This window comes from Homo sapiens, chromosome 13, assembly GCF_000001405.40.
Source record: "Homo sapiens chromosome 13, GRCh38.p14 Primary Assembly".
In the NCBI taxonomy this organism is placed as follows: domain Eukaryota; kingdom Metazoa; phylum Chordata; class Mammalia; order Primates; family Hominidae; genus Homo; species Homo sapiens.
Genome location: NC_000013.11, coordinates 33,135,929 through 33,148,097, shown reverse-complemented (window position 1 = coordinate 33,148,097; position 12,169 = coordinate 33,135,929). Strand labels below are relative to the sequence as shown.

The 12,169-nt window shown below is 41.9% G+C and overlaps 1 protein-coding gene across 11 annotated transcripts in view, besides 1 other annotated feature; it reads left to right on the top strand.

Moving 5' to 3' along the window:
- STARD13 (StAR related lipid transfer domain containing 13) overlaps nucleotides 1-12,169 on the top strand; it is a 573,658-nt gene that overhangs the window by 528,697 nt on the left and 32,792 nt on the right. For all 11 annotated transcript variants that reach the window (XM_017020835.3, NM_001243476.3, XM_047430759.1 and 8 more), the window contains one exon: nucleotides 5,725-5,788. In XM_017020835.3, the coding sequence (XP_016876324.1) occupies nucleotides 5,725-5,788 (64 nt within the window). The remainder of the gene's footprint in view (nucleotides 1-5,724; nucleotides 5,789-12,169) is intronic.
- Nucleotides 931-1,230: an enhancer, noted in NCBI's record as "active region_7570". NCBI's record gives its function as "activates an Ori minimal core promoter by ATAC-STARR-seq in GM12878 lymphoblastoid cells {active_cell/tissue: GM12878}" and the evidence as "EXISTENCE:reporter gene assay evidence [ECO:0000049][PMID:35858748]".

Genomic DNA, 12,169 nt, shown 5'->3' with positions numbered 1-12,169 from the left:
GTTTACACTTAGGTCTATGATTCATTTTGAATTAATTTTTGTGATGATATAAGGTCTGTGTCTAGACTAAATTTTTTTTGCATTTGAATATCCACTTGTTGCAACAGCATTTGTGGAAAGACTACCTTTTATCCATCGTATTGCCTTTGCTCCTTTATAAACGTAAGTTGACTCTCTTTGTGCGAGTCTGTTTTGGGTTCCTCATTCTGCTCCATTTATCTCTTTGTCTATTCTTTCACCAGTACCATACTATCATGATTACTATGGCTTCATAGGAAGTCTTGAATTTGGATAGTGTCAGTCCTCCAGTTTTGCCCCTTCATTATTGTGTTGGTTATTCTGAGTCTTTTGCTCCTTCATATAAACTTTAGAATCAATTTGCTGATATCCACTGTTTTGGTTTTTTGTTTGTTTGTTTGTTTGTTTAAAACTGGACATTTTAAATATTGTAATATGGCACCTCTTGAAATCAGATCTTCTCTTCCCAGGGTGGTCATTGTTGCTATCTGTTTAATGAATATCTGGAACTAATTCTCTAAAGTCTGTATCCCTTGTTGTATCCACTGAAGTATCTACTCAGTTAATTTAGTAATCAGCAAATGATTGGACAGAGATTTTCTTAGATACCTTCAACCAATCCCTCAGTCTTTGCTGAGCGGCTCTTTGTGCATGTTACAATATGGCTTCAGCACTGCAGCAGGGAATTGATAACTCTGCCTTAGCCTTGATTTCCTGCTTGTGCAGATCATCAAGGTCAGCTAAAGGTGGAAGATTAGGGCCAGCTCAGGTCTTTCCTGGGTATACACACAGTTCTGCACATGTACTTGGCCTTCTAGATTCCTAGGAATACATTGGAACTTTTCTAAGTCCCCTATGGACATCTCATTCTCCCAGATATTCTTTTTAAGCTTTTTGGTTAGCATCTTGTTTGGCTCAACTGTTATTACCATTTCAGGCAACTGCCATGTTGACTAATTACTACTGACTGTCTTTGACAAACACCCTGGGTATAAGCTAGTTTCAGTAATGATTTGAGTCAGGTTAAATAAAGACAAGCGCTGTGAACTGGGGGTTTTCAGGGAATTCCCAGACAGCTCAGATAATGACAATTCTTTGGTAACGGAGTTTTGGGGAAGCTCAAACATGTTCTTCCCTCTCCAGTGGATGCAAGGCTACTAGTTTTCACAGCTACTCTGACGGTGATGCTGTTGATTTTCAAAGCTCCTGAAAAGCTGGGGAAAAGGGCATAGGAATAGGGTGGGTTTGAATGTCACAAAGCTCACTGTCCTTACATATGTTTAACCATTTTTCTTAAATAGACACTTAGTGTTACTTAGTTTGTTGGAAGCCCATATCAATTTACAGCTTTCTTAAAAAGTTGATTTTGACAATATCTGCCAGTACTTTTGTTGATTTTATGAAGAAGTGGGGTTTTGGAGGTTTTCACTTAACCTTTTTCACTGATGTCACTCACTTGCATTATTTTTTATTCAGCTTTATTTAAATATAATTTATATTCCAAAAAATCACCAAAGCATACAATTTGATTAATTTTGTGAAATGTACAGCTATGTAACTATCACCACAATCGTGACATAAAACTTTATTTTTTCAGCTACAGGGTCCTACTATGTCACCCAGGCTGGAGTGCAGTGGCGTGGTCTCAGCTCACTGCAGCCTTGACCTCCCAGGCTCAAGTGATCCTCTCACTTCAGCCTCCTGTGTAGCTAGGACTACAGGCACGTGCCACCATGCCCAGCTAATTTTTTTTTTTGAGATGGAGTTTCACTCTGTCACCCAGGCTGGGGTGCAATGGTGCAATCTCGGCTCGCTGCAACCTCCGCCTCCCGGGTTCAAGCAATTCTCCTGCCTCAGCCTCCTGAGTAGCTGGGATTACAGGCATGTGCCACCACGCCTGGCTAATTTTGCATTTTTAGTAGAAATGGGGTTTTACCATGTTGGTCAGGCTGGTCTTGAACTCCTCACCTCAGGTGATCCACCTGCCTTCACCTCCCAAAGTGCTGGGATTACAGGCATAAGCCACCACACCCGGCTTAATTTTTATATATTTTTTTTGTAGCGACAGGGCCTCTCCATGTTGCCCAGGCTGGTCTCAAACTCCTGGGCTCAAGCGATCTGCCCACCTTGGCCTCCCAAAGTTCTGGGATGACAGGCATGAGCCACCATGCCCAGCCGTGACACAGAACATTTTTGTGACCTCAAAAAGTCCCCCAGTGCCAGCATTTGGCAACCACTCATCTGTTTCCTGTCACTACAGTTTTGCCTTGCCTGAAATTTTTTTGATGAGTGGAATCCTGTAGTGTATGCTCTTTGTGTCTGGGTTCTTTTACTTAGCATAATGACTCTGAGATTCATGTATAGTGTTGTATGTATCAATAGTTAGTGCCTTGAATTGTTGAGTATTCCATTGTATGGATATACCACAATTTTTATATCCATTTACCAGCTGATGGACATTTGGGCCATTTCTACTTTTTGGCTATCTTATGATTAAAGCTGCTATGAACATTCAAGTACAAATCTTTTTACAGCAAAAAAAAAATTATAAAAAGTATAAATCTTTTTGTGGACATGTGATTTCTTTTATCTTGCATAAGTAGCTGAGAGTGGAATTGCTAGATCAAGTACTAAAAATATATCTAATTTCATAAGAGACTGCCAAACTGTTTTCCAAAGAGACTGTACGCTTTGGAAGTTTCAGTAGTTCTGAATCCTTGCTAATACTTAATGTTGTCAGCGTTTTTACTTTAGGTATTCTGTTGTGTAGTGGTGTCTCGTTATGATTTTAATTTGCATTTCTTTCATGACTGATGATATTGAACATCCTTTCATGTCTTCTCTTAGAAGTATCTGTTTGAATATTCTGCCCATTTGAAAATCAGGTTGTTTGACTTGTTACTGAGTTTAAGAATTCTTTAGGTGTTCTGTATATGAGTCCTTTATCAAATACATGTTTTGCAACTGCTTTTTCCAAGTAGAGAAGCAATTTGTAAGGTACAGGCAAACATCTGAGTTTAGGGGCAATAAAAGGACCCAGAGCTATAAAGTCAAATCTACTTAGAGTCTTCAGCTTTAGAAAATAATAAATAAACTTCCTGCATGTGTCAGAAAGTATAAAGCATATTCGAGTCTGTGGTATATAGAAGATGATTCCTTTGATGTCTTGTGTGTGTGTCGTAGATCAAAAGCTTTTCCACAGAAAAGCAGAATGGAGTGTTTTGTTTGTGCTTCCAAACCCTAATGGAAGAACAAGTTCACTAGATAAGTTCATTTTATAAATAACAGGCAATCCTCCCCTAAACAAACCTGTTACAGAGCCACCAAATGTGCAATATCCACCATTTTTTTTCACTTCACACCCACTCTTAGGTAGACATGCTAACACACGTGGAACAGACCAAAGAGACAGGCTGAGAGCCTGCCAAAGATGGTCTCAGATGAGATGATCAGCTTCCAACTCAGCATTGCCTGCTATATCTGACACTAATGAATGCGTAGTCAGAGGGTACATTGGAGGTGGTTGAAAATGAGGAGAGTCATTAAACGTATTTCAGTCGGTGAGCGACGTGAGAAAAAGTTGAGAAATAGAACTGGTTTCAGTGTAAAGTTTTAGAAGTGGTAGTGAAACCAATTAGGAGGCTGATGCCTGACTCTTGATAAACAACGACAGGAGACTGAATTAGGGCCAAAGGAGAGGCAAGACTTCAAAGACATCATAGAGGTATAATTGACAGGATTTGGTGATCAACGAATGTAGATTGTGAAGGAGTAGAGCCTCAAGATGACATTATTTTCTAGTTTGGATGGCCCATTGGTGATGCTCTTAGTCAAGACAAGACAGTACGTAGGAGAAACAGGTTTTGAAGAGAATGCAGAATGTGACTCTGGCCTCAGATGAGATGCCTGGGCTGGAGACAGAGGACTGGGTATCACTTGAGTCTAATTTATGTTAAGATTCTTCAGTAAGGCCATGGAGAGTAAAAAGGGATGGACCTCAGTCTGAATTCTAACAAAAAAATTAATAGTTAAAGGGCAAGTACTGCTTCGTGGCAGGAAGGAGATGGTGTCCAGAGAGATGAGATAATTCATAATCTTGAATGTCAAGGATGAAAAGAATTTCAAGGAATGATGGGTACTAATTTGTGACTATTGCTATTAATAGGTCTTTGCTAAAAAGAAGCCATTGAATTCAATGGTTAGAAATTCATTGGTCAAAACTGGAAACAAGCTGGGCGCGGTGGCTCACGCCTGTAATCCCAGCACTTTGGGAGGCTGAGGTGGGTGGATCACGAGGTCAGGAGATCGAGACCATCCTGGCCAACATGGTGAAACCCCATCTCTATTAAAAATACAAAAATTAGCCTGTGTGGTGGTGTGCACCTGTAGTCCCAGCTACTCAGGAGGCTGAGGCAGGAGAATTGCTCGAGCCTGGGAGGCAGAGTTTGCAGTGAGCCGGAGATTGCGAAACTGCACTCCAGCCTGAGCAACAGAGTGAGACTCCGTCTCAAAAAACAAACAAACAAACAAAAGAAACGACTGGAAACAGCTCAAATGTCCATCAGCAAGAGAATAGGTAACCCAATTGTGTGTCTTCATACTCAGGAACTAAGCTGAATGATTATTGGTATACTCAACAACATGAGTCAATCTCACAAACGTTGTGTTGAATGAAAAAACAGTCACTCAAAAAATACATACTATATAATTCTACTTACACAATGACCAAGAAGAAGCAAAACTAATCTACGGATGATAGAAGTCAGAAAGAGGGGCTGGGCACAGTGGCTCATGCCTGTAATCCCAACGAAATGAAAGAAATGCTGGGTAACATCTTTGAGAGTCCAGCTGAGGGTGAAAATCAAAATGTATTTATTAGCACAGGCTGCCATGATGGAACACCATGACCGAGTGGCTTAAACAACAGAAATTTATTTTCTCACGGTTCTGGAGGCTGGAAAGTTCAAGATCAAGGTGCTGGCAGGGTTTGGCTCCTGGTAAGGGTCCTGTGACCTGTAGATGTCTGCCTTCTCACTGTGTCCTCACATGCAGAGAGAGAGAGGGAGCTCTCTGGTATCTCTTCTTACAAGGACACTAATCCTCTGGGATCAGAGCTCCTCCCTGGTAGACCCCTTTACCCTTAATCACTTCTTTACTCCAAATCAATCACGTTGGACATTCACATATGTGAATGGAGGGCTTCAACGTATGTGTTCTGGAGCGGCATAGTTAGCCTATAGCATGTATAATTCAGCACTGTGATGTGAGTTATTTTCTACCTATACCCAACCACCTGAGATCAGGAGAGAAGATACACGGTTGTGTTGATCCATATTTAGAGGTTAACGGGATAGACTTGATGCAAGGTCAAGGTGGCAAACGATTGGAGGAGATAGTGAAAGTATGGCTAAAATGATCAGCCATGGATTCCAAGAACAGTGGAAAGAGAAGCCAGAAAAGGGCTGGGTTTAGATTAGGGAAAAGGCAGGGATTGGTAGGCTTAGTGGTAGAGTCCTCTCAGGTCAGGAGGCTGGAGCACAAATGGGAACTACTATATAGCATACCTTCTGTGGGTGCAGTACTGTCTTGGGACATAATTGGTTGTTCCTGCAGTTTCAACTTTACTGGAAATAAAGGAGGATTATCAAACTGGAGAGATTTAAATTCATTAGTGAAAGTAATCATCACATTTTTCTTTCCTTTTAGACGACTAAATACGTTGAACAAGTGTGCCTCAATGAAACTTGATGTGAACTTCCAAAGGAAAAAGGTAGGTGCCCACACCTTAATAAGAATGTGGCTATGCCAGTGAATGCCAGGAGTTTGAGATCAATCTGAGCAACATAGTGAGACCCTTGTGTCTACAAAAAAATAATAATAATAAATTAGCTGGGCACAGTGGCTTGTGCCTGTAGTCCCAGCTATCGAGAGGCTGAGTTGGGGGCATTGCTTGAACCCAGAAGGTTGAGGCTGCAGTGAGCCATGATCATGCCACTGCACTTCAACCTGGGTGACACAGTGACACCCTGTCTCCAAAAACAAAAAAGCAACGTGAACCTAAGCAAAATTTTGAAATGCCTGACCATCCATGTGTATTCTCCATGTCCCATTTCATCATAACCACCTAAATAAGTCTATTATAAACTAAGACTGAAATCTATTTGTTTTACCTTTCATTTTGCTTTCTTTTTTTATTAGAGGGTTTGCGTAAAGATGTAAAATATCTCGGTGCTTTATGGTGATCTTTCAGAAGTGTCCGTTGTAAATGTCAACCCCTTATTAGACTCAAATGCTTCACAGCAGTGAGTAGATTAAAAGTTCAGAAAGGATCTGGGGGTCCATGGCGAGTGACTTCTGGCTCATTTTTTCCAGTAGTGTTTTATTTCATGCATGTGTCAAGATGCCCCCACTATCAGGCAGATTCAGCTGATAATGTATGAGGGGGCCCAGGGACGGTGTGACAAGATCCTGAACTCTGGCTCATCTTTCACCATTCTCCCCACTGTGTACTTGTCTCTAGCCACAAGGAATTCGGTTCAGTCCGAAAAGTCACTAAGCTCCCTCCCCATCACAGGACTTGCCATGTGCTGCTTCCTCTTTATGGATAAGACTAGAGATTTGAGTTTTGAAATAAAGCTGTACTTTATTGAATATGTACTGTTTTCTAGGAACTAGATTATGTACTTACCACACATTATCTCATTTAATCCGCTGAGATGAGGCTTCTCTGTTTTCTCTATAAGGAAGGTAAATCTTGAACAGGCTAGGTCATTGCCCACGATCTTGCAGCTAGCGGCGGAGCAGGGTTTCTACCTCGGAGGTGTCTGATTCCAAAACCAAGGCTCCTAGCCAAAGTGCTGTACAGCCTCTCTTTTTCACTGAATTGATTCTTTTTAGGAAATTCAGAATTAGGGTCCTTAACTACTTTTTTCATTTAACATCTCTACTACGTAGCAACTCAAGCCTCCATATATTTTGAAGGATCAGAGAAAAAAATCTTTGAATCAAAAGAAAGTGTTCTTGGCCAGTTGCGGTGGCTCACACCTGTAATCCCAGCAATTTGGGAGCCCAAGACAGGTGGATCATCTGAGGTCAGGAGTTAGAGACCAGCCTGACCCACATGGTGAAACCCGTCTCTACTAAAAATATGAAAATTAGCTGGGCATGGTGGCACACGCCTGTAGTCCCAGCTAATCGGGAGGCTGAGGCAGGAGAATCACTTGAACCCGGGAGGCGGAGGTTGCAGTGAGCTGAGATTGTGCCACTGCACTCCAGCCTGACAGAGAGAGACTCCGCCTCAAAAAAAAAAAAAAGAAAGAAAAGAAAGTGTTTTTATCCTGGTCTACACAGAGAAATCATTAAAGCCAAAGGATTTTAAGTTACCCCTTAGTAACCTAATCTTTGAAAATAACTTTAATCTGAATTTCTGCTGTAAAATAACACCAAAAAAAAAGAAGATCAAATGAATTTTAGTGGACCTCACCTTAAAAACAATTTGGGATTTGAGCTGGGAACCAAAGCTTTAAGCTGAGGAGGTAAAACAGTGAAAAACAATATCCAGAGAAATATTAAAACATGAGCAGTTTGTCCAGGCCAAAGACAAATTTAAAATGTGGGAATAAACCTCCCAACAGCTGTCTGACTGAATAGACCCCTTGAGAAGCATACACACTATTTGAAGCATGAGGGTCAGATGTTGTTTTGATTGGAACACATGGTTCCTATTAAACTGAACACAGCCATGCCTGTGTGTCTAAAGTGTGGCTCCTCAAATGGCTGGTCTATACAGCTGCCTATACCGACCATTAGCTGCACTGCATCACAAAAGAAAATGCCAAAAAACTAATGACATGAGTTGTTTCCACACAGTGGAGTGATTGGATTTTTACCCTGTCACCAGCTTTTCAAAACCCAGAGGCGAGATGGGCTTGAATAACATTTGTTTGGCTCTTTGTGCGTTACCTCCACAAAAGCTCCTCTGTAAATTGGTCACTTCGGTATTCTGACCTTAATGTAGTCTTTATATCGCATCTAGTGGCACACGCCCTTAAAGCCCCTGCTTAGCTATAGGCCTCAGAATGCATGCACTTGAATAAAATATTGCTTTTCATGTTGTAAATTGGAGAGTTATGGCCTGAATTTTCAAATAAATAATGCTGACATGTGGTCTCCACCTACTTATGAATCTCAATAATGACCAGAATCCATGGCCAGATTGAAGCAACCACTTAGGAGACACTGTTGTGACACCCGTTTCTGTGATCTTCCTCTTACACAAGCCATAGACTTTATTTAATCCCTTATTTTACTGTGAAAAAATAGAAAAAAAAATGAATAGGAGCTAAGACTAGGCCAAATGATCACAAATAGAAAAGGAGACTTGAGAATCGAGCACCCCGTGAAAAGCTCCAGCCAACTTCAGTATTTATTTATTTGGAAGAAAAATAAGGCAGCGGGATTTCCTCTAGGTAAGTCCCCATGTTAAGCCATCCAAGAAATAGAAATAGAATCCCCACCTCCAATCTGCAGAATCCCAGACTTATTTAATTCTGCAGAAAGTCATCCCCAAGTAGCTAAACTGTCTGGGGTCACAATCATTGTGCCTTGGGACTGCCGGACCTATGAAAGGGTTGCAGGTGCTGGCTCAGCAGTTTGTAGGGATAGCAAAAGCTGACACAGGGCTTCCTCCCCACCAGGCACTATTCCTTGTCCTTAACTCCATGTCACAGTTGCATAAATTGAAGGGCTTGGCACTTGCCCAAAGCCACACAGAAATAGCAGAGGCAGTACTTGAATCTGGGTAATCTGGCACTGGACTGATCCTCCTCACCTTTCAGAGATATTCAGAGACAAACTGGAGTCTGGGTGAGCCTCTAGCCCTTGGCCTGACACCTGCAAGGGTCTCATGTTTCCTCAGCAATACACTCAATTCACTGTGTATATTGTTTTTATAAGAGGCATGGTTCTTGCCATCTGTACTAAAGTCCACAATTTATTTATTGTCTTCATGGCAATTGTGTTTAATCCTGTAGATTTTGGTGGGCTGACACAAGGAAGAATGTGAAAAGTCCACAAATAGGTGATGATGGTGATGAAGGCTTTTTCATGCCTGGTTAGCCATACACCTTTCTTATACATGAAATGCCACTTCCAAAGCACTGGGAGAAATGACAACACCGCTACCCTCCCACAATACAGTTTCTAACTGTTTTGCAGAAGAGAAAAGGGACCCTTTAAGGATTCGAGATGACCTTCCCTGCCTCTGTAAGAGTCAGGTGGAGGAGTATTCTCGAGCTTAGCTGCACGCCTCACTGGAAGACTAACAACCCAGCCAAGAGCATTTCAGGAGACAGGACACCAGCACTTCTGCCGCCTGCAGCTCGGGCTCTCCACTCCCGCGGCATTCCCAGCGGCCCATTCCTGCTTCCAAACAGGCAGGCCCGGCCACGTAGCTCCAGTTAACGTCTAAATTTCTATGTGACTATGGATGCGTTGCCTTTTGCAGCTGTGGATTCGTGTGGGTTCCTGTTTCCAGTGTAAAGATATGGCCAAATTCCGTCTTTTGAAAAAAGCCCTTCTTTATGGAATGTCTGGTTGGCATCTGTCTCTGAGGAATATATAATTTCAGTGAAGAATGTTCTCATTTTTAGAAAAAAAAAAAAAAAAAAAGCCAAACAGTGGAGACTCATCTAAATTAAAAACACCAAGGCACACACAAAGTAGCTTTTCTCGGGAAAATGTTTCTTCCTCATTATTACCTACAAAATTCGCGCTTGCTCCATGATGACATTGAAATCCCCTGATTAAAGTGTTTATGTGATTCAGCTTCTATTCAAAGTAAAAGCCAGAGACTGAAGACTCCAATTAGGCTGTTTATTAAATGAGGAAAGAGAAGGACACATATCCACATGGGACTCTTACCTTTCCTCTTACCTAGGAATATGTCTCAAGAGAGAAAGAGCAGCTTCCAAAGAAGGTTCTGGTTGAACTTATAATTTTAATAAGGCTCTCTGAAATAATGACCAAAGGTGGAAAGCAACACAGAAACCATGACTAATTGCCACCTTGCAGCCAGCACCTCCTGGCCTGGATGCCGTCGGCATTTCAGAGGCACTGCAGCTGTTGACAAGGGGCCTGGCCCCCCACCCACCCCTACTTCCCACTCCCTTGCACACCCCCGCATCTCCCACCAAATGAGACACCTCCTGGCAACTCCAAAGAGCAGTCAGATGAGAGAAAGTCCATCATTCACTTGGCTGGAGAGTATTAACAGCCTTGAATTGCAAATAATTACATGCGAATGTCCTAAAACTGTAGGGTATTTGAGTTGGAAGGATCTTTGGTCTTATTTTCCAACCTCCCACTCACTCACTGCAGGATTTGCTTCTTAGTGCATCCCTCTCCCTCACAATTTGCTGAGCCACTGTTTATTATAAGCTTCTCAACATGACGAGCTCTTCACATGGCAAGGCAATTTATTTTATTCTACAGACTAGAAAGGCCTTCCATATGATAAGCTAGGAGCTGATTCCTTCTAATCTGGCCCACCTGAACCTAGCTTTTTTCCCTGGTGAAGCACAGAATATGGATTTCCCCATTCACTCAGAAGCCCTTTAGCTCTGTCCTCCAGAACAGGGAATCAGCACACTGCTGCTCCTGCTTTCATAAATAAAGTTTTATTGGATCAATAGCTACGCCCATTCATTTCACAACAATGGCAGAGCTGAGTAGGTGAGAGAGAGAGACCTTATGGTGCATACACCTAAAATTTTTATGATATGGCCCTATACAGAAAACACTTGCAGACCTTTGCTCAATCTAGAACAGTTTCTCAACTGTCAGTGGTGAGTGACTGATTTTCTTATTTTATTTTTTTCCAGTCTGCCACAGACTAAGATACTTTTGTAAAATTCAATACAAATGAATTATTAGAAATATTAATTTTAACAAATTATAGAAAATACAAGGCTTAATGTTTTATTGTTAGGCTCAACTGACACAAAGGTGAGTACTGATAAATATAATCAAAACAAATATAACAGGAAATAATGATGCAGGATTTTTCTCAACCCCACTTCATCAGCCAGAAACTTCTGTGCCTGGCAGGGGCCCCTGCTTCTTTGTTCCTGTCACCCTGCTCTGTGGCCTGTGGCTCCCTGGCTGACCCAGCCCTGCTGCTGCTTCTTGGCGCCAGCAAAAGGAGGGCTGCAGCTTACAACCCCTTTCGACCCCACTGTTCAGTAGGTCCCAGGTTCTTGTCCCACATCAAAGAAGAATGAGGTTACACTGACAATTAAAGGGTGAGGAGGGTGGAGAAGAATTTTTATTGAGCGACACAGCAGCTCTCAGTGGAGAGGGGATGCAAGGGTGGTCCCGAAGTTGGGTGGTTTTCTCCCCTAGTGTGGCTGGGTCTGGGCTTTTATAGGCTCAGAATGGGGGAGTGCCTGCTGATTGGTTTATGAGTGTGCAAAAAAGCTAAAAGAAAGACACCAATCAAAGGTGGGCAAGACAGTGTAAAAAACCAATTAGGGAAAGGTAGGTATATGTAAAATAGAGGAAGGGTGAGGATCAATCAGAGGAAAACATGCCAAATGGGAAGAGAGGTTCTCAATCCAGTCTGTGGGTTTGTAGCTTGACTTTCAGCCTTCAAACTGTCTTTGGCTTGAGGGTGGGGTTTCACCAGGAAGCTGCCCCTATTTGCCTAGGCATTTGACTGCCTCCTGCTTCTATCAATAGAAAAGAATTACAAAAACTGTTCAGATTTTTATTGAAAGTGTGCGTATATGTGATTAATACAAAGAATCACAATTGTGCTCATACCATTTTTGTTGTTCATCTGTCATAACTGAACAAAAAGTTTACTTTAAAAGAGAAATCCCTCAAATTAAATGCCTATATGCACACTTTGAACAAGCACTTTGACTGCAAATGTATAAGATATATATAATTTTTTTTTTTTGAGGTAGAGTCTCACTTCATCACCCAGGCTACAGTGCAGTGGCGCAAACTCAGCTCACTGCAACCTCTGCCTCTGGGGTTCAAGCGATCTCCTGCCTCAGCCTCCCGAGTAGCTGTGACTACAGGCATGCACCACCATACCAGGCTAATTTCTGTATTTTTAGTAGTGATGGGTTTCACCATGTTGGTCAGG